General features: G+C 41.3%; 1 protein-coding gene across 3 annotated transcripts in view, besides 2 other annotated features; it reads left to right on the top strand.

Moving 5' to 3' along the window:
• Positions 1 to 22,951, top strand: part of PRKCB (protein kinase C beta) — a 384,629-nt gene that overhangs the window by 238,532 nt on the left and 123,146 nt on the right. For all 3 annotated transcript variants that reach the window (NM_002738.7, NM_212535.3, XM_047434365.1), the window contains 2 exons: positions 18,277 to 18,433; positions 19,649 to 19,783. In NM_002738.7, coding sequence (NP_002729.2) covers positions 18,277 to 18,433; positions 19,649 to 19,783 — 292 coding nt within the window. The remainder of the gene's footprint in view (positions 1 to 18,276; positions 18,434 to 19,648; positions 19,784 to 22,951) is intronic.
• Positions 1,001 to 1,813: an enhancer, noted in NCBI's record as "NANOG-H3K27ac hESC enhancer chr16:24086836-24087648 (GRCh37/hg19 assembly coordinates)". NCBI's record gives its function as "activates a minimal SCP1, AML or CMV promoter by ChIP-STARR-seq in naive H9 embryonic stem cells {active_cell/tissue: H9 hESC(naive)}" and the evidence as "EXISTENCE:reporter gene assay evidence [ECO:0000049][PMID:30033119]".
• Positions 1,814 to 2,626: an enhancer, noted in NCBI's record as "NANOG-H3K27ac hESC enhancer chr16:24087649-24088461 (GRCh37/hg19 assembly coordinates)". NCBI's record gives its function as "activates a minimal SCP1, AML or CMV promoter by ChIP-STARR-seq in naive H9 embryonic stem cells {active_cell/tissue: H9 hESC(naive)}" and the evidence as "EXISTENCE:reporter gene assay evidence [ECO:0000049][PMID:30033119]".

Genomic DNA, 22,951 nt, shown 5'->3' on the forward strand with positions numbered 1-22,951 from the left:
AGCTCATTCACCGTCAACTATTATTATTTAATCTATTTTCTATCATATTTTGGAATAAAACATTTTGGCTTACTAAAAAAGAACAAAAAGAACATGTATTTAAAATCAGTAGGCAACAGTGAGTCAGTGAGGATGTTCTGAGAGTAGGAATGACATGATAAGATCTGCGTTCTGGGAAGATTAATTTGTCTGAAGCTTATAGGGTGACCTGAAAGGAGACGAGGAGGGGAGGGAAATCTGTAAGGAGGCTGATGCAACGGTCTAAGCTGCTTTGTGCAATATGGCAGCCACTAGCCACGTGGGGCTGTTTAAATTTAAATTAACGAGCTTGGCCTGGTGGCTCACACCTGTAATCCCAAAACTTTGGGAGGCCAAGGTGGAAGGATTGCTTGAGGCCAGGAGTTTGAGACCAATCTGAGCAACATAGCAAAAACTTGCCTCTACAAAAAATAAAGTTAGCCAAATGTGGTGGGATATGCCTATAGTCCCAGCTACTCGGGAGGCTGAGGCAGAAGGCTCACATGAGCCCAAGAGGTTGAGACTACAGTGAGTCATGATTGCACCACGCACTCTAGCCTGGGTGACAGAACAAGACCCTATCTCAAAAAAAAAAAAAAAAAATTTAATTAAAGAAAATTAAATAAAATGCAAAACTCAATTTTTCCAACACAATAGCCACATTTCAGGTATTCAGTGGCCTCATGTGGCTAGTGGTTACTATACTGGACATCAAACACTTCCATTATTTTAGAAAGTTCTATTGGACAGTGTAACTGTAATAGGTTCACTGCCCAATGCATGCAGCAAGTCAATACACTAAGCCACTGAGTTGCAGCAGAGAAACAGGTTTAATTGTAGGGAAGAGACAGGAGGAAACCTCAAATCCATCTCCCAGAGGAGTCTGGGGCTAGGATTTTTAAGGGTTTTGCAGTGGGCTGAAGTGTGGAGATTGTTGATTGGTGGAAAAGAGCAGGATGGAGTCATGGGACAGGGAGATAAAGAAGCTGTGTTCTCTTGCTGATTCAGTTCCTCTGTTTGGGGTCTTTAAACTGGTTGGCATCAGCTATTCTGCTGGAATTCAGGATCTGTTTAAGCAACTCTTAAACAAAAGCCTATGATTCTAATGTCAGAAATCCTATCTGTAGGAACAACGAGGTTGCAAATGGTCAGTATCCAGTGTTACCTGACTTTTAGTTGCAAGGAAGTGGGTCAAAGTTAGCCTGATTAATGCTGAATTGTAACTATATTTCTGTCCAGAATTCTTCCTACCCTGGTGAGGCTGGCTTCAACAACACTGGTCAAAAGCAGTGGTTTTCATACATGAGTGTCACATCAGAGTCATCTGGAAAGTGTGTTAAAATACAGGTTGCTGGGTTCCATCCTCAATTCAGCAGGTCTGAGCAGGGCCTGAGATCATGCATTTCTTTTTTTTTGTTTGTTATTATACTTTAAGTTCTAGGGTACGTGTGCACAATGTGCAGGTTTGTTACCTATGTATACATGTGCCATGTTGGTGTGCTGCACCCACTAACTCGTCATTTACATTAGGTGGGAGGAATAACATTAGGAGATCATGCATTTCTAATGAGTTCCCAGGTGATGCTGACGCTGCTAGTCTGGGCCACACCCTTTGAGAACCACTCTCTGAAACAGGACTTCTCAGTCATGGTGTGAGGGAAAGGGGAGTTGTTTGGAGCATGTGAAAAGCCTTATTTATATGCCCCAGTTAAGCCCAATTGGGATTTGGACTCAGCCTCTTTCCAGGATTGGCAGTTGTTGGCAGATGTACAGGAGTGCTTTTGGCTTTTCTGGTTAAAAGAGGTGAAAGGTGGGGCTAATTCAGAGTATGGAGATCAGAGGGGTGAATCATGGAGCAAAAAGGGGGCCTTATCTGCTTCTTCATCCATTCTCTCTGTCATCCTGGAGCTCAGCTTTTGGGGCCTGATAGGGAGAAAGACGAGACAGAAGCTTTCAGAACTGAGAAGTCAGAATTCACTGGCTTTGTTCCTCACTAATACCTTGACAACTTTCTCCCTAAGGCAGTGGATGACTCACGTCTAGCTGCATGGTCTGGGGGGAGGAGCCTCAGGGTACAAGTGACAGAATTCAATGAAGTGCAAAGTGGGAGAAACAGGCACTTCAAACCTCAACGTATTACCTTGCTACAAGTGTGCCTTTAACTCACTGTTTGAGTCACAGAAGGAAACAGCATAGGGCTTGCTCTCAGGGAGCCGGAGTATAGCATCTGCTGATGGCCAGGGTCACTGGAATATTTGCCTCTGTCTGGGCAGAGTTTAGAATAACAGGCAGAGGCATAGGGTGGGGGCTGTGCCGGAACTCTGTCTATCTCATCTGTGTACCCTTTTATAGATGGTCATCGGATTTGTATTTGCATCTCAGTGTAGTCAGACATTCTTCCAGAACACTCCAGCAGTGCTTCTGTGCCTGCTGGAAAATAGCTGCAGCTCTCTCCTGAGGCAGCTCTTCCCACAGTCCCAGCTGCTCCCCTGGGATCCTCCTTGGACCTCCCCATAGCCTGGCAAGTAAACTTAGCACCTGGGCATATCAGGGGGCCTCTAGGACCCTGTTCCAGTACTGAGCACAGCATCAGTACTGGTTAGCTTGTGCTTGGGCTGTGCCATTTGGAAGTATTTTGAAGATGCACATGCACGTGTGTGTGTGTCTGTGTGTCTACGGTGGTGAAGAATGGAGGGATGTGGGATGGGGCAGATTCAGTAGATGCCTTGAGATATGGATAGTTTGGTAAAATTATGATAATAAGAAAATGGAAAGGATGCCAGTTTCCTTCCAGCTAGTTAAGACCCATTACTTTACTCATTGACCCACCTAACCCATCCATCCATCCACCCATGCATTCATCTCTCCATCCATCCATCCATCCATCCATCCATCCATCCAATCCATACATTCATCCATCTAATCCATCCATCCATCCACACATGCATTCATCTCTCCATCCATCCATCCATCCATCCATCCATCCAGTTCATACATTCATCCATACATTCATTCATCTGTCTAACCCATCCATCCATCCACTCAGCCAACTCATCCATCCATGTAATCATATATCCGTTTAGGATAAATGTATCCAGCACTCTCTTTTAGTGCTTCTGTGTGACTGAGGATGTTTGACAATGAAAGGAGGAAGCATTCATCTGCTGGGACCCCTTCTAACAGATGTTTTCTTCTCCCTTCATCCCTGAACAACAGTAGGAGAAACAGGAAACTTGTCTTCAAATGGTAGCCCTTTTCCCTGACTGTCTGAGGATCATGGTCTGAGAATGTGCCTCTCAGTTTTTAAAAATCCTTGAATTCCATGATTCAGTGATGTAGTTAATGTAGACAGGGCTCTTCTATCAAAGCAGGGAGCCTATTGAAGATATGAGAAAATATGCACTGTTTCTCTAGAGAAGGGAAGTAAACCCGCCTTCCTCAGAGCTGGGAAGGCTTTTGTCCCAAGCTTCTGAAAATTAAACCCATCACTTAACGTTCTCACTGAGCAGATTGCGGGGCTTCTGGCCCTATGCTGCTTGGGTTGTGCAGAGCTGCCGACAGACAGTTTTGATTGAATGTCCAAATTAAGCTGCCAAGCAGCGACTCTGCAGCTCCAGGGACTCCATGTTAGTATTTATGTCACATCTTTAGAAATAATCACATTGCAAAGCAGCACCCAGAGCCATGTCTGCAGCCGCTGCAGCGTGGGAGAGGGGGCTGTTGAGCACCTCCTGCCTCCATGCTTCATGCTGCATTTACTCAGCACCCAAGCAAGGGTGGGGCCCCATGGCACGCCATCCTGGTTCCTGTCCCGAGGATATGAGTGAGGAATTGGTAAACCTCGTCTGTCCTTCTTGTTTTCACTTAACTTGAGGCAGGAGGTGGTCTCCAAACAAGAAGTAAAGCTAACTTATTGGATGCCTGACTCCCAAACCATCTGTCCTAGGCAGACAGAAAGACCCTCAGGGCCAACCTGAGGGGAACAGATGTTTATGGGGGGCAGGTTTACTCTTGTTTTTCCAAGCTGGGCTGAAGAGCTCCTCTTCCATCTGCATCAAGCCCTGAAAACTCTGCCGTGCATGAGTAAAGTAGCAAGTGCTGCATCCCCCAGTGAGATCCAGTGGTGACATTGTCCACACCACTGGGGAATGCTAGTTATTAAGAGACTGGGCTTGTGAGAGCTCAAAGGTGGACTAACCCAGATCTTCCCTGTCGAGGGAAATGGTCTCTAGACTTGTGGGGTTGTGGTTGTGTGGAGTCAGAGTAAGTGTGGAGCAACGCTGGGAACTGTAGGACCCTGAATGACCAGGGAAACCGCTGTAGAAAATAGTTGACACTAAACTGGGTTTAGGGGGTCATAAAACCTCCAAGATTTCAAAGCTTCTGGGTCCCAGGAGGACTCAGTTACTGAGCACAAAAGTTGCATGGTTTTGGTGTCAGGCCTCTGAGCCCAAGCTAAGCCATCATATCCCCTGTGACCTGCACGTATACATCCAGATGGCCTGAAGCAACGGAAGATCCACAAAAGAAGTGAAAATAGCCTTAACTAATGACGTTCCACCATTGTGATTTGTTCCTGCCCCACCCTAACTGATACGATATATTCTCCCCCGCCCTTAAGAAGGTACTTTGTACACCTATCCCAAACCTATAAGAACTAATGATAATCCCATCATCCTTTGCTGACTCTCTTTTCGGACTCAGCCTGCCTGCACCCAGGTGAAATAAACAGCCTTGCTGCTCCCACAAAGCCTGTTTGGTGGTCTCTTCACACGGACACACGTGACATTTGGCAGTGTTGCAAAACCCTCAGAAGTCCGAGTATCAGCTGGACTGAACCTTGGGGCACCCGCGTTGTGTCTAGTTCCAGTTTGTTAAGAATTAGGTGCACAAGACCAGCCCCCCTTTTACACAATGATTTCTTTCTCTCAGATTTAGAGTAACATTTTTTTTTCTAACTAAAAATGTAATTAATGCTCAACTGAGACCATATATTGAATGTCTCCTTCTTCCAAATTCCCACTGAAGTGACAAAGAGATTAAAAATGGAAAAAAATTGATCAGGGTGACAAACCAGAAAAATGGTATCAATCAGATGCCAGAATCTTTGGGGAATTTTTCTAAGATACAATTCAGACAATCCAAGCTGATTTTGTGTTCTCTTTTCCAACATCTAAGCCTCTTATACAATACTTTTAAAAAATGTAATTGCGTTGATTGGTACTTTCAGAACAATGTTAAATTATGATAGTGATGGTGGGCATTCTTAATTTGATTGTGGCCTTAATAGATATGCCTCTAGAGTTTTACCCGTAAGCATAATGAAGGCTGTTGGTATATTTATTACGTCAAGAAAAGCATTCATTTATTTCTATTTTTCCAAGTGTTAAAAGGACGAATGGTTATTGAATTTTGTCAGTCGCCTTTTTCGTCATTTTTTAAGATAATTATATAGTTTTTCTCCTTTGACCTAGTTTTATAGTGAATCATATTATTAATAGATTTTCTAAAATTATGAAAGATTTTTGTTTGAAGAGTGTGCGATCGGTTTCTAGCTTTTGAAAGATCACTTTGGTGGGGGAGTGAAGGAAGGGCTCAATAGAAGACCACAGGCAGGAAACCAATGAGGAGGATCTTAATTTCACCCAGAGAGGAAAAGTGAGTGGCCAGGGAGCAATCATATGAGCAGCTGCTGTTTATGAATCACTCATCACCTGCCCAGCACAATACCAGGATTCAAATATAACTTAATAATCACAGTAATTCTATGGCACACTTATTATTGTTCAGATGGCAGTGATATGAATAGTAGGGACTCAGGTACACAAAATGAGAAAGAGGCAGATCAAACAGCACGGGGTTGTAGATTGCACCAAAGGGAGGAGACCAGAATGATTTCTAGATTCTTACTGGGGCAGTTGGGTGGATAGTTCAACACTCACTAAGACTGGCATTGAAAGACAGGGAGGAGACATGGTGGTGTCGGGGGAGCAGGAGGATAATGAGCGTTGTTGGACATGTTGAGTTTAGCGTACATATGGGACATCCAGTACAAGATAACCAGTGGACAGTTGTACATACAGTTGTAAAGGTCAGTAAAGAGGTGTGGGTGGGAGTTGTCAGTATTTAGGTAGAAGTAAAATCATAAGAGTAGAGCCCCTGGAAAAATACGGAAACTAACAAACAAACTTCCGAATAATCCATGGTTTAGTTCAAAGAAGAAGTCTCAAGGGAAATAAGAAAATATTTTGAATTGAAAGAAAATAAAAGTATAACACATGATACTTTGTGGAATCCAGATTAAAAAGTGCTTAAAAGGAAATTTATATTGGTAAATTCTACCAACACTTAAAGATGAAATAATACTGATTCTCCTAAAAAGTAGATGAGAAGGGAACATTTTTCAACCTATTTTATGAGGCTAGCATTACCCTCATACCAAAACCAGACAAAAATAGTACAAGAAAACTACAAGCAAATATCTCAAATATTTTCTTCCAGTTCGTCATTTGTGTTTTGCAGAACAAATGTTTTTAAACTTTAATAAAGTACAATTTATCATTTTTTTCTTTTATAGGTCATGTTTTTAGTGTCATGTGTAAGAACTCTTTGTAAACATAAATATAAAAATCTTCATAGAAATATTAGCAAATTAAATTCAGCAATATATAAATGAAAAATACACTCCGTCCAAATGAGTTTTATCCTGAGAATGCAAGCTGGCTTAATAATAAAAAAAAAAATCAACCAATGTAATTTACCATATTAATAATCTAAAGAAAGAAAAAAAATTAACATATCAATTGATGCAGAAAAAATTGGACAAAACTCAATATTCATTTATGATGAAAGTTCTCAGCACACTAGAAATAGAAGGGAACTTTCTTGATCCAATAAGAAGTATCTACCAAAAACCTGTAACATACTTAATGATGAAAAACTGCATGCTTTCTCATTAAGCTATGAAACAAAACTAAAATGTTCATCCTCCCCAGTCCTATTCAACATCATGTCATAACCAGCACAGTAAGATAAAAAAAATTTTTAAAGGCATGTGGGGCTCGGCTCGGTGGCTCATGCCTGTAATCCCAGCACTTTGGGAGCCTGAGGTGGGTGGATCATCTGAGGTCAGGAGTTCGAGACCAACCTGGCCAACATGGTGAAACCCCCACATCTACTAAAAATACAAAAATTAGTCGGGCGTGGTGGCAGATGCCTGTAGTCTCACCTACTTGGGAGTAGGCAGGAGAATTGCTTGAACCTGGGAGGCAGAGGTTGCAGTGAGCTGAGATTGCACCACTGCACTCCAGCCTGGGTGACAGAGCAAGACTCTGTCTCAAAAAAGTAATAATAAAATAAAAAATAAAAACCATATGGAATGGAAAGGAAAAAAAGAAAAATTGTTTCTATACACAGAAAACAGTATTGTTTATGTAGAAAATCCACAGGAATCTACCAAGAAATTACTAGAAATAATGAGTGAGTTTAGCTGGGTTGCAGCATACAAGTCAACACACAAAAATCAATTGTATTTCTATATATTAACAACTAGAAACCAAAAATTTAAAAAATACTACTTACAGCAGCTGCAAAACAAAGGAAATATTTAGGTATAAATCTAACAACACATGTCTAGAATCTATATGCTAAAAATTCCAAAACACTGAAAGAAATCAAAGAATACCTAAATAAATGAAGAGATAACCCATGTTCATGGATTGAAAGACTCAGCAGAGTGAAGATAGCAAGTCTTACGATTGATTTGTAGGCTTAATGAAATTCAAGTCAAAATCCCAGCAGGATTTTTTGTATGTTTGGACACAGTGATTCTAAAACTTGTATAGAAGGGCAGTGAATCCAGAATGGCCAAAACAATTCTTAAGATGAAGAATAAAGTTGGAAGAATTACTGTACCCAATCTTAAGACTTACTATATAAAGCTTCAGTAATCAAATGTGATATTGGTGACAGGATAGATACACAAGCCATTGGAACACAGTAGAGAATCCAGAAATAGACCCACACAAATACGGCCTATTGATTTTCAACAAAAGTGCGAAAACAATGAAATGGAAAAAGGACGGTCTTTCAACAAATGATGTTGGAATGATTAGACATTCATATGAAAACAAAATGAACCTTGACCTCCATCTCACACCTTTTGCAAGAATTAACTCAAAATGGGTCATGGAGCAAAATATAAAGGTATAAAATTTCAGAAAACACAGGAGAAAATCTTTATGACCTGTAGTTATACAAAGAGTTCTTAGACGTGACACTTAAAAACGTGACCCATAAAAGAAAAAAAAAAAAGTGGTAAATTGTACTTTATTAAAGTTTAAAAACTTTTATTTTGCAAGAAACAAACTATAAACTGGAAGAAAATATTTGCAAATCACATATCTGACAAAGGACTTGTATCCAACTCATTGTATCAGAACTCTCAGACTCATTTGTATGAAGCCAGCCTTACTTAAAATGTAATCTAAAAACCTGAACAAACACTTTACCAAATAATACAAGGATGGCCAATACATTCATGGAAAGATATTCAATATCACTAGAAATTACAGAAATGCAAATTAAAACCACAATGAGATACCATTGCACACTTACTAGAATGGCTAAAATAATGATGATAATGATAATAAATACTGTCAATATGGTGTGCTAATGAGTATGCAGAACAAGAGGAACTCTCATTCATCACTGTGGGAATGCAAAATGGTACAGCTGCTCCGGGAAAGTGTGGCAGCTTCTTATAAAGCTAAACAAACGCATATAACTGAATGATCCCACTCCTAGTTATTTATCTTAAAGAAGTGAAACTTTATGCTCACACAAGAACCCGTGAGTATATCAGCTCTATTTGTAATCACTAAAATTTGAAGACCACTGAAATATTCTTTAACAGTTGAATAGATAAACCTTGATACATCCATGCAATAAAATACTACTCTGCAATAAAAAAGAATTAACTGTTCATATACACAACAACATGGATGACCCTCAAAGGCCCTTTGCCGAGAAAGAGAAACCAATCTCAAAAGGTTTTCTTGCTGTATGATTCCATTTAGGTATTATTCTTGAAAAGATAAAACTGTAGTGATGAGAAACAGATCGGTGGTTGCCAGGGGCTGAGGATGAGAAGAGGATGTGACTATAGAGGAGAAGTATGAGGAATTTTTCCGAGGTGATAGAACTCTTCTGTATTCTGATTGTGTGATGGTTACGTGAATCTATACATGCATTAAAATGTATAAATTTTTTCACAAAACTGTGCACCAAAAAGTCAATTTTACTGCATGTAATTAAACACATAAAATAAATGTTATAGGCAGAAAATAAGCTGATAAAAGACACAAGTACACACAGAGAGAGAGAAGAGAGAGAAAAGAAGGCAATAGTCCAAGATGAAGAGGGAGATGGATAAGAGGAATGCAGAAGAAAGAAGGTTGTCATGTTATGATACTAAAAAGTAATTTAAAACAGTAGACTAAATCAAAGTGTGTAGAAGCAGTAGATAGAGGAGTGCCTACTGCAGAAAATGTAATAAGTAATATGGAAACAAGCTTAAGGAGTGCTCCAATGGGGATGGCAGGGGAAAGGGACAAATAAATAAATATAACCACTAAATAAATGACAGATGTAGAGAACAAATAGCATTTATCCATGGGTAAATGAGTATCAGATACTCCTAGAGAAAAGACCAGAGCAAATGGAAAAGCATCTATACTGTATTCAAAGTAGAGTTCAAGACAAATATATAATATACTATATAAAATGTGTCTTTTATTTATGGTAAGTAAAGTCTGGGGACAAAAAGTAATCATGAACCTAGGGCCAAAATGCATAAAGCAAAAACTTGAAATGAAAGGAGTAATTTACAGAAATACCATAATAGAAGGGCTTTAAAAACACACTTTGTCAGTCTTGGACAGATAAAAGCGGTTAAGAAAATGGATATAGATAATTTAAATAATATAATTAGAGTGAATATAAAATACCTCTCTATCTTGAATCCTGAACCCTTCAATAAAAGAATTACATTTTTTCCCTAGTATTCACAAAATTAGTGATATATTAACTTGTTAAGGAAACCTCATTAAATTCCCTCCAAAATGCCCCCAGAAATTGCTCAGCCCACATTTTCCGATAAAAATAAAACAGAACTAGAAATTAATGACAAAAACATATAATACCAAAGATCAATGGATGAGTGAGATGGAGGTAGGAATCAGATGGGAGCCTCAAGAATTGAAATCTTGAAATTGCTTCTGTAAGGAATGGGAAATTAACTAGGGACACCCAATAGGTTTGACAAGCAGTGTGCGGGACTTTGCTGTGGTTGGAGATCATGGGTATATAGTGGCATGAAGCCCCTATGTGTGACACTTTCCCCTGGGGACACTGTCTAGAGCAAATTTCACTCATGGTTGAGGGTATGCACACAGGATGTTGAAGAGACAGGAAGGTAAGGACATTTAAGCCACTGGTCAGAAGCGATTGAATGGCTTTTCCATATGGGAAGTGGTAGGGAGGAAGTAAAACCGTAGCAATGCACTGATGGACCAGGGGAAAGGAAACAGTTGAGGAACTGGAGGGTTTGATGAAATGAAAAAAAAAAAAAAGCCAGGTAAAGGGAGTAGAGACATAAAAGGATAAACTACCACTGGAGAGTTTAGAGGCTATGCCATATCAGGTGAAACTCCAAATGCCTGGACTGGAGTGGAGAGGAGGTCATAAGAAGAATGGATGATACGTTTGACTTCACGTCGTCTATTATTCTCAGACCTCCTCCAAGATTCATTTGTATGAAAATCACATTGGAGGGATACTCTTTTAGCCCTGGAATTTATCTTGATTGTTACATAATTTGGTCTAAATTCTCTGAAAGGAGAAAGGAAATCAACATTTGTTGAGCCTCTGCCATGTGCCTTACATTCCACTTTGACACTGTTATCCTCTATCATTAGGGTAGTCATATAATTTATTGTTAAAATTTGGACTCTCTTAAGAGTGAGAGGACAACAGTTCTAAATTGAGGTTGCTCTGGGAAAACTGGGATGGATGGTCACCCCCACTATTATCCAAGAGCCCATTTGAGTTGTCTGTGTAGGTTTATGAGAATTTGGGGGTGGGGAGACAAAGGCTCAGAGAAGCCATTTGAGTGAGATCACCCAGTTAGTGAGAGTCATGGCAGAGGTAGAATTGACAACCGTGTCTGCCTGACTCTGAGGTCTAGCCATTGCTAACTTAGTTCCTGATTCACCACGCTAGCTCTCCACCATTGTTTCACTAGCTGTGGCTTGACAGGCTCTCTTCTTGACAGACACCATGACAGTCCCAGCTGGAAGTCTGTCTCAACACAGATAATTAGATGTGTGATAACTGTACCACTGCCAGCAATGATGGGAAGCCAGCTGTTCTAGGAGCCTTTGGGACCACGATGTGCTCGGGAGGACTTTGATGCTGGATGTGGGCTGCCCAAAGACCCCACGTTTGCTGGTTTTGTAATCAGAGCCTATCAGGTGAAGATTATACAGCATGGCCAGTTACAGAGGCTGGGAAGGGGATTCTGAGGGATTTCAGGGCTCATAAAAGCCACAGCATCAGAGAACCTTGGGGTCAGAAACCCCCAGGGTTAGAAGAAGTAATAAGTAAACAGGAATCGATGGGACACAAATCTAGATTGTAGAGCAAAGGGCTAAAGAAGCTTCCAACTTGGGAAGGTATGGCAGGGCAGGGGGGTTCAAGCAAAGGACCAGGTAAACTGTCAGCCACCAACAGATAACTGAAACAGGAGAGGGGCAGGGCAGGACAGTGAAAATAGGTTGATGGATCTGAAATGATTGACCTGTTTAGTCTCTCCCTCCAACCCTGGTTAGGGCATGTGCTGAGGATGTCCAGCTGACCTCAATGAGCTTATCCTGGGTCTGTGTGTTATTCACCACGGAGCTCATTTTCTGGGTTCTATGATGCAAACCAAAAGTTTTTAAGTATCACCCTGCGGATCCAATTACCCTATAAACTCTTTGGAGGAATAGGATGGGGTCTCTGAAAGCCAGGGCAATAGATTCTTGGAAACTGTAAAAGCACAACTGAATTTGTAAATTGTTTTAATAACACAATTAATACAAGAATACATTCTCTTTGTCAGAAATTTAAAATGTGATGGATAAAGCTAAAATCTTTATTCACAACCCTCAAATCAGGTTCCTCTACCTGTTCCTCAGAGGTGGACATTATTTTAAATCAATTTTGGGTATATCTTTTCAGACTCTTTTCTATATATTTACATTCATATATGACCTTGTAGAAAATGCATTTTACTGTACCTTTCTTTTAAATATTTGGAGGGCCTTTAAAATTTTTTTATTCTGACATAATCTCAAAATGACAGAAAATTGCAATAACAGTAAAAGAAATTTCTGTATACACTTTACCTGATGTACTAATTGTTTATATTTTGCTCCATTTGGTTTAGCATTTTCTCTACTAATGTATTTTTATATGTGTGCACATTTTTTTTCTGATCCATCTGAGAGTAAGTTGGGGTCATGGTTTCCACTTATCCTGAAATACTTCAGTTGTATTTCCCAAGAACAAAAATATTCTTAGTACATTTATTCAAATGAGGAAATGCAACATTGACCCAATGCTATTATCTGACAGTTCAGCTCCAGATTTCACTAATTGAACCACTAATGCCTTCACGCTTCTTTCTTAAACAAAGAGGCATTATATTGCCCTCATCTTCTTTTTTCAACGTGCTTCATCTTGCTTTTTTCAACACGTTTCTGCATATAGATAACCCAATGTTATCGGCATGGGCAAAGTGCGTCACAGTATGAATGCGCCATATATTATTTACTGTTTCCCCCATTGGTGGGCACTCAGGTTATTTCCTACTTTTATAATTGCACACATCCTCAGGCTGAATATTAGTGGGTATTACTTTGGATTAATGTTCTTTTATTTTTCCTTAATAAATCCTTCACTGGAATGAATTACTGTTTTGAGGACACACAGTGAGGACAAAGCAAGACTCACAATATTGAGGAAAGTTCCTTCAAAAGGAGTTAAATAAGAGATGCTCCTGATTCACATAATGTGGGATCGGGATATGAAAGCAGCACAATTATTCTGAGTTTTCTGACAGATAATTGTATCTTCTTAGAAAGAAAAAACAATTAAGGAACTTCTTGGTGAAGAACAATTCTTGGAAAAATAGTTAACATGCATGCTATCTTTTTATGGATTCAGTGCTGTCTTAGAGAACTTGGACCAGAATGCAGAGGCCTCGCTTGCTCCAAAGACCCTTAGACAGAAACAGGCAGACCTCACCCTGCACCCAGAGCCCCATGCCCACGGCAAGCAGTGTTCTCTGGACCAGGACACGCTTCTCCTGTACTCTTTGCAAACTTCCACCAGTGGGGACGTTTGCTATTTCTGCTCTGTGTGAAGCATTTGGTACCATCTGGGCTGGCTGAGTTTCAACAAAGATAGTAAAGAAACATTTATCAAGAAAAATCAAAGTCGGTCTCGCCAAGTGTGGTCTAGAGAGATTTGCTTCCGCGATACATATGCGGCTCTCTTGCTGCTGGGAAACACGACTCAACTTTGAAACACTTCAGGAGGGACAGCCCTTTGGATCTTAGCCTGCAGCTACTGTCAACTGCTCATGATAGATGGTTTTAGTAGCCAGAGCTCTTGGAGATGTGAATGCCAGCAGTCTCAGGATGCATTCCACAGCATTCCGTTGCACAGAAAGTTTTGGCCCCTTTGGTAGAGAATAAGCTCAAAAGGACAAAAGTAGAAGAAAGGACCTATAAAGGTGAGGGAAGAGTCATGCCTCAGTGAGTAATGTTTGGCTCTGCAATGATTAGATTCCCAAGAAAAGGTCATTCTTGGCTGCACACAGTGGCTCACACCTGTAATCCCAGCACTTTGGGAGGCCGAAGCGGGAGGATCACTCGTGGCCAGGAGTTTGACACCAGCCTGGGTAACATAGTGAGACTCCATCTCTACAAAAATTTTTTAAAAGTTAGCTGGATGTAGTGGCACATGCCTGTAGTCCCAGCTATTCAGGGTGCTGAGGTGGTAGCATCGCTTGATCCTGGGAGATCAAGGCTGCAGTGAGCCGTGATCGCGCCACCGCACTCCAGCGAGACCCTGTGTCAAAAAAAAAAAAAAAAAAAAAAATTGCTCTTAAACCACGAGTCTTGAGATTGACAGCTTCAAAATACAACACTCTTGTCCAGCAAAGAGCACTCTAAAAGAGCTGTAAATTCCTTAAGCTTATGATAGAAGATCTTTTTCCAGTGACTACCCTTGTGGTGTCAGTTCATAAGACTGGGGCGGAGGAGGGGGAGTGGCCTTGCCAGGGAGAAGAAAGATGAGCTGTTTCCTCTTGCCTCTGTGTTACCAATCAACCAGACAGACAAGCTTCTGGCGCATCTGAGTGTCTCAATCCTGTGTGTGTGCAGCTCACTATGTGATAGATGTGTCACTCCAAGATCCCAGCCTAGAAACTGGTACATGTTATTTTCCTTGGAAGGCTCAAGAAATGAAAGTAACAGTTGGATATTATATTCTATGGGGAAAATGCATGGGTATTTTGAGAAATTATTATTCTCCAGAACAATGTTACTTAATGTGTGTCTTATAGACTGGCAGCATCAGCATCACATGGAAATGTTTTAGAAAAGCATATGGACAGGTTTCACTGCAGACTTAGGGAATCAGAATCTATCTGTGGGGGTGGGTGCCAGATACATGTGTCTCATGAGTCCTCTGAGTAATTTTTATGCACACTAAGGTTTAAGAAGCTCTCCTGTGGAAGGGTTCGAGTAAACATCGAATGCATTGTTAAGAAGAAAACCACAAATGGTTCCATTTGATGTCAGTACGTGTGGAAATGGTTAACTCTTCATAATAAAAATAGACAAACAGGCAAGGCATGGTGGCTCACACTTGTAATCCTAGCACTTTGGGAGACCAAGGCTAGAGGATCATTTGCATCCAGGAGTTTGAAACCAGTCTGGGCAACATAGAGAGACCCCCACCTCTACAAAAATTTTTTTAAAAATTAGTTAGGCATAGGTTGGCAAGCACCTGTAGTCCCAGCTACTTGGAAGGCTGAGTTGGGAGGATCACTTGAGCCCGGGAGGTCGAGGCTGCAGTGAACCATGATCATGCCACTGCACTCCAGCCTGGGTGACAGAGTGAGACCTTGTCTCTCTCTCTCTCTCTCTCACACACACACACACAACAAAAACGTAGTGAAAGAGGGCATTGCATATGAATAAGAATAATAATGAAATAGCAGTAATATATAGCAGTTAACATTTATTGAGTATTTTTTAAGTTCCAGGTTCTGTGCTAAACATGTATATTCTTTATCCAATTTTACTCTTGTAACAACCTATTTTATTGATCAAGAAATTGAGGTTCATATGTGTGAAGTAACTGCTTGGTAAGATGCGGACCCTGGGATCTTATAGCCCTGTGTCCATGACACTATATGGTCTGTCTTGGGGACAAGATTAACATTTTATTTTGTCCCCTATATCCCCAGGGCCTAGCAGAATGCTTAGCACTTAGTAGGGACTTGCTTGTTGAACTTAACTGATCAAGGTCAACATCTTGCTTTTGGTGTAAAAATGAGATGCAGCTTGCAAGCTGAGATGGGAGATGAATTCAGCCTGTGGAAAAATAGAAGACACTGCCATGTTGCTGGAGTGCAGAAAAAATGTCAGCACAGAATAAGTTACAGCTTGATCCTGGTAGCCGATTCAATGCTTCTCCCATCTCATTTATTCGGTCTCAACCCCTTACTAGCTGTATCATTTTAGGGAAGTCAGTCTTATTTATTTTCCAGCAATGGTCAGCTGTTTGAGTGTAGGAAAAGGACAGAGTAAGAAAGGACAGGTATTTGAATTTAAGTAGGGCTGGGGTCATGTGAGACAAGTAAAATAAAAAGAAAGAGGGGCAAGGGAGTTGAGGGTCTTTCCAAAGGAGTAGCTAAAATGCACCATAAAATTGAATCTGGATATGAATGGAGTAAAAGCAAGAGGGAATAGGGAGATCAAGAGAATGTGTTGGGTTCGAGGGACTGATTGGTGGAGAATGGACTGACGAATAGGGGAAGATTTATTGCAGTAGAATAATAGAACTAATGAATTGGAAAAATAGAAATTGGTGTAAGATAGTAGGGTACTTGAAACTGAGATTGAGAAAGTGGTATAATTTCTGGGATAATAGGCTCCAGAGCGTGACCATGGTAGGAGATAACTATGATTGGGGGTGAGCAAAGGTTGCAGGAAATGAGGGGGTGCTTTCTCTCCTACTTTCCAATATTCTTTCTTCTAATCTGTTTTTCTTGTTATCTTGAGTTTACAAAATTTCTGGTTTTATTTATGCTGTGGATATTTTTCCAGCCTTTTCCCTATGGGCTGTCTGGGTGCAGGTTATGGGTGATACATGGATAATAGGTGCATCTTGGTTTAGAGGGTAACTCTTTATTTCTTACTGCACTTATGGAACACGAGAAAAAAAAGTATTAAATAATGGCTATGGTAATGGATATCTTTGTCTTATTCCTTACTTTAATGGAATTGCATTTATCATGAACCATGGTGCTGTTATTTCAGATAGCCTTTATCCTGTTAAAATTCTCTGCTGTTTCTAGATAACTACAATGATCTTATGGTTTTCTTCTTTGATCTATAAATATGATGAATATATTGAAAATAGATTTCCTAAGATTGAACCATCTTTGCATTCCTGATAGGAGTCATTATGTATTCACCTTTTAGCAGATAGTTAGAGTCGATTTGGATTGAATGTATTACTGTGGATTGTTCTACTGTAAGTGAGATGATTGACATTGTATCCTTAAGAGCTGTGCAATTCTCATTTTCTAGTCTGCTTCCATTGACTACCTGCATTACTGGTTTCTGAATTGATTCCTAATTAACTACTTCCTGTTTCTCCAAGCTGATGATTTAGTCTCCCTCATCCTTTCTATAGCCAGTTGCATCTTCACTGCTGATTCCCTGCCTCCTTTTCTCCTGTAAGTTCATCTTTTTTTTTTGACGGAGTCTCACTCTGTCGCCCAGGCTGGAGTGCAGTGGCATGATCTTGGCTCACTGCAAGCTCTGCCTCCTGGGTTCATGCCATTCTCCTGCCTGGGCCTCCCAAGTAGGTGGGACCACAGGCACCTGCCACCATGCCTGGCTAATTTTTTTGTATTGTTAGTAGAGACAGGGTTTCACCATGTTAGCCTTATAGCCTCTTTACCTGGGTGTTCTGGAGTCAGGGTGGAGCTGAGCTCTAATGCTGCTGACATTGTTCCAGCCTTCTCTCTATGGGCTGTCTGGGTGCTGGTTATGGGTGATACATGGATAATAGGTGTACCTTGGTTTAGAGGGTAATTCTTCCTTTCTTTAGCTTTTTCTTTTTGAATGGAGGTAAAATTAACGTAACATAAAATTAACCATTAACTGTTTTTAAACGTACAATTCAGTGACATTTATAGAATATTCACAGTGTTGGACAACCATCATCTCTATCTAGTTCTCAGAAATTTTCATCACCTCTAAAAGAAACCCTGTACTCATTAAGCAGTCACTCCCCATTTCCCTTTCCCTCCAGCCTCTGGCAACTATTAATAGTAGTCTACTTTCTGTCTCTATGGATTTACCTGTTTGGGATGTTTCATGTAAATGGAATCATACAATATGTGACCTTTTGTGTTGGGGTACACAAATGTTCATAGCAGCAGTATTCACAACAGCCAAAAAGTGGAAACAACCCAACTATGCATCAACTGCTGAATGGATAAACAAAATGTGGGATATCTATACAATGGAATATTATTCAGTCATGCAAAAAAATGAAGTGCTGATACATGCTATAATGTGGTGAACTTTGAAAACGTTATGCTAAATGAAAGAAGCCAGCCTTTCCTGTGGGCTTTGTGGAAAATAAGCTTAGAAAACTTACAGTTAATCTTGGTATGGGAAGAGCAGTGTAAAAGTCAGAAATCCATTTTTAACCAACACAGACCAGAGTTGACATCTTATCAGCCCATCTCATTTTGTGCACTGCTTCAGCTATGGATGTTAATAAAATTAAATTTCTCACTAAACAAGTGTGATGCCAAAGAACCTTCCACAAGTTCTGCAGCTGTCACTGCTTGGTGCTTAAACATGTTGGACAGTATTAATGCAAAAACTGCTTTTTCTTTTTCAGTAAGAGATGCTAAAAACCTTGTACCTATGGACCCCAATGGCCTGTCAGATCCCTACGTAAAACTGAAACTGATTCCCGATCCCAAAAGTGAGAGCAAACAGAAGACCAAAACCATCAAATGCTCCCTCAACCCTGAGTGGAATGAGACATTTAGATTGTAAGTGGAAATGACTGCAGTGAGCATGGGTGGTGGAGGTTGGGTTATGTGCCACCTGAAATCAGGGAGTTCCTCCTCCCTTAGCTCCTGTTTCCTTCCTTCCCTACCTCCCTCCTTTTCTGTCTTCTCCATCCCTCACTCCTATCTTTCCCTCCCTTCTTTTCCATCTGCAATTTTGTATTGTGAGCCAAGAAAAAAAATTAGAGCTATTTTTTTAATAGAGATGAGAATGCCTGTGGTGTGGGGGAGTGGGTAGGACAGGAAATGGTGTGATGTGTTGCTAAGTGAAGGCAAGTTGTGGGAGAAATGATGGGGCTCAGCAAATAGGGGAACATAACCTACAGGGTGTGGTGACAGCCTCTCTAGAGTTGGGTTTATGGATGATGCTTGGCCTGCAGCCTTCTGGGACATCTCCACCAGCCTCCCTTGAGGGTCTTCCCTGGCCAGGGCTCCAAGAATCTGGGAGTCTCTTTCTTGTACATCTAGGCATCAGGAGTTGGTTATAACAGCCAATTCACTGAGCATATATGATGTGTGACAAACACTGGGTTAAGCGATCCGACTTCATCGGCTCATTTTATTCCCAATGTAGCAATAGGGCTTATAGAGGTTAAAGAGTATGCCCAAAGTCCCATAGCAAATATGGGGTGGAGTGGGATTCAGCTTCTGGCAGTCTGACTTTAGCGGTCATACTTTTTTAGCCACCAGCTAGAAGCACAGTTCCTTGTCCTGTCTCCTCTTCCCTCTCTCAGGGCAAAGCTGGGCCCCTTCTCAGCCTCAGTCAAGGACATGTCTCAGAACAGACAATTTCCCCAGGATTTTTCTCCATGCATTTCCTCAGCCTCATTCTCAACCCACCTGTGTGCAGATATACACATGTACACACCCAATTATGCAATTGATATCTGTATTTCTTATAGGCAATAGGAATTCCTGAATATCCTGAACCCTATTAAGACATAAGATAACAAAAGTAGTTAGAACTGTTCTTGTCATAGCCAGTCTAAGACCTCTGCCTGTTTAAGCCACAGGCTGTCAAACAGAAAAAGCTCTCACTCCCTGGAGAGCTAGCCTGGGATGGAAACTGAATATGTTTCTTTCAGCAGCTTGTAATCTTTAAAACTTTCTACCTCCAGGTCTTGTCCTCTTGTACATTTATTCTGCTTGAGAAATTACTACAACCTCCACTGATGTCTTTTCTTTTTCTCTATGCAGTCAGCTGAAAGAATCGGACAAAGACAGAAGACTGTCAGTAGAGATTTGGGATTGGGATTTGACCAGCAGGAATGACTTCATGGGATCTTTGTCCTTTGGGATTTCTGAACTTCAGAAAGCCAGTGTTGATGGCTGGTAAGTAAGATTTTGCCTTGAAAGCTACCATACAGCTTGCTCCATCAAACGCGGGGTCAAGTATGTTTTCCTTTTTCTCCAAAAATTGAAATACTAAAACAGAGTCCCAAAGTGAAGTCTGGTTGATTGGATCTGCCTTGCAGATATGTTTTGTTTGGTCCTTGTACTAAAAACAAAAAAGAAAGAGGCCAGGCCTCGTGTCTGACACCTGTCATCCCAGCACTCTGGGAGGCCGAGGCAGGTAGATCACTTGAGCTCAGGAGTTTAAGACCAGTCTGGGCAACATGGTGAAACCCCATCTCTATCAAAAACATGAAAAATTAGCTGGGCATGGTGGTGTGTGCCTGTAGTTCCAGCTACTCAGGAGGCTGAGATGGGAGGATCACTTGAACCCTGGAGGCAGAGGTTGCAGTGAGCAAGGTGGTCAGAGATTGAGCCACTGCACTCCAGCCTGGGTGACAGAGTGATAAAAAAGAAAGAGAGAGAGAGAGAAGGAATGAAGGAAGGGAGGGAGGAAGGAAGGAAGGAAGGAAGGAAGGAAGGAAGGAAGGAAGGAAAGGAAGAAAAAGGGAAAGGGAAAGGAAGAAGAAAGAAAGAAGAAAGAAAGACGGAAAGCAGGAAGGAAGGAAGGGAGGAAGGGAAGGAGGGACAGAAGGAGGGAGGGAGGGAATTAGTTCTAGTATTTTAAAAATCTGGGGCTAGAAGGCAACAATTGAGAACAGTTGAATAGTTAATGCCCCCTTTAGACAGGACATGGATTTTCTATTTGTCACCGTCCTCACCACTCCCTATTTTATTACATCTGGGCCAATTTACTAAACTACATGATGAGACTGTAACTGCCCAGTGGCTTCTTTGTGCCTGCTGCCCAGACAGAGCCGATTTATCAAGATGGGAGAATTGCAATAGGGAAAGAGTTTTACACACATAGAGCCAGCTAAATGGGAGAACAGAGTTTTTTTATGACTCAAATCAGCCTCCCTGAAAATTTGGAAGCTAGGGCTTTTCAAAGATAGTTTGGCAAGGAGTAGGGTGGCTAGGGAATGGGTGCTGCTGACTGGTTGGGGATGCAGTAATAGGGGTGTGAAAAATGGTCCTCGTGCACTGAGTCCACTTCTGGGTGGGGCCACAGGACTAGTTGGCAGGTCCAGGTGGGGCAGTCTGGTTGTCAGGAAGGCAAAAGCCTGAAAAGACATCTCAAAAGGCCAATCTCAAGTTCTACAGTAGTGATGTTATCTGTAGGAGTAACTTAGGAAGTTGGAAGTGTTGTGAGCTCTGGGATAAAGGCTGATAATAATCCATGTCTACATCTTAGCAGAATTCAGGCTCCTTTCATTCTCCTAACTTGGCAATATTTCATTAGTTTTACAAAGGCAGTTTAGTTTTGGGAAAGGGCTGTCATAATTTAAAATATACAACAAATTTCTTTCAAAGTTAGGTTGGCGGTCTGGTCGGGGTGGAGCCATTGGTTACGAGAAATGCAAAAAAACCTGAAGAGACATCTCAAAAGGCCAGTCTACAATAGTGATCTTATCTGCGGGGGTCATTGGGAAAGTTGCAAATCTTGTGACCTCTGGAATAATGGCTGGTAATCCTTTATGTCTACACCTTAGCAGAATTCAGGCTCCTCTCATCCTCCTAACCTCATGGTCCCTCATTAGCTTTATGAAGGTAGTTTAGTTTTGGGCAAGGGCTATTATCATTTAAAATGTACACTAGGCCGGGCGCAGTGGCTCACCCCTGTATTCCCAGCACTTTGGGAGGCCGAGGTGGGTGGATCACGAGATCGGGAGATCGAGACCATCCTGGCCAACATGGTGAAACCCTGTCTGTACTAAAAATACAAAAATTAGTTGGGTGTGCTGGCATGTGAGGATCACTTGAACCAGGGAGGCGGAGGTTGCAGTGAGCCGAGATCATGCCACTGCACTCCAGCCTGGGTGACAGAGCAAGACTCCATCTCAAAATAAAATGAAATAAAATAAAATAAACACTAAATTTGTCACAAAGTTAACTTGGCCCGAGCCCAGGAAAGCGTAAGGGCAGTTTGGAGGTTAAAGGCAAGCTGGGGGTTGGTTAGATCAAATCTCTTTCACTGACGTCATCATTTTCTCCCTGTTACAATTTCTGCAAAGACAGTTCCATGACTGGCTCCATGGACACTAGAGTGGCTTGTACACTTCACCTGAAAGATATGAGCAACCCACTGTCAGATGGTGTCTGAGAAGCTACCGCTTCCTTGGGAGTCCTTAGCAAGTCTGGCCACAGATCATAGATGTACTGGGGTGTTGTTTTCATAGTCAGCTGCTGTGTCTCCTTTGTCCTGAAGATTTTATTTTGCTCCCTTCCTATGGCAAAAAAAAAAAAAAATATATATATATATATATATATATATATATATATATATATCCTCCAATGTTACCAACAGAGAGGCTGGGTAAGCCCCCTTGGCAACTGTTTCACAGTTAACTGAGTCAAGGAGTCAGAAGAAATAGCTTAACCTGGCACTATAACTTTGGGAGAAGTGGCAATTGGGCTGCTATTACTTCTTTAAGATAAATTGTCTCATATCTGAATTGTCTCATTCAGGACCTTTTCAGCTTCAAGTGAAAGAAAATAAAAATCAAACTGGTTTAGCGAGAAAGAGATGTGTCCTTTGGACCACACACACATCTTTCCTTTCCATTGTTCACCTTATGACTTCCTTGTCTTGGCTCCATGTTTCATCTTAGGCCTTTTTTTTTTTTTTTTTTTTTTGAGACGGAGTCTTGCTCTGTCACCCAGGCTGGAGTGCAGTGGTGTGATCTCGGCTCACTGCAACCTCTGCCTCCTGGGTTCAAGCAATTCTCCTGCCTCAGCCTCCCGAGTAGCTGGGACTACAGGTGCCCGCCACCACGCCCAGCTAATTTTTTGTAATTTTAGTAGAGATGGGGTTTCACCATGTTAGCCAGGATGATCTCGATCTCCTGACCTTGTGATCTGCCTGCCTTGGCCTCCCAAAGTGCTGGGATTGCAGGTGTGAGCCTCCGTGCCCAGCCTATCTTAGGCTTTTCTTGAAACATATATTGAGTGTCCACTAGGTGCTGGTCACTAGAAACACATGGAGGTATAAGACAGACATGACTTCATGGAGCTTAGCTTATGGCAGAGGGTGGGTTGGGGAGATAA

This window comes from Homo sapiens, chromosome 16 (genome assembly GCF_000001405.40).
Source record: "Homo sapiens chromosome 16, GRCh38.p14 Primary Assembly".
Taxonomy (NCBI): Eukaryota; Metazoa; Chordata; class Mammalia; order Primates; family Hominidae; genus Homo; species Homo sapiens.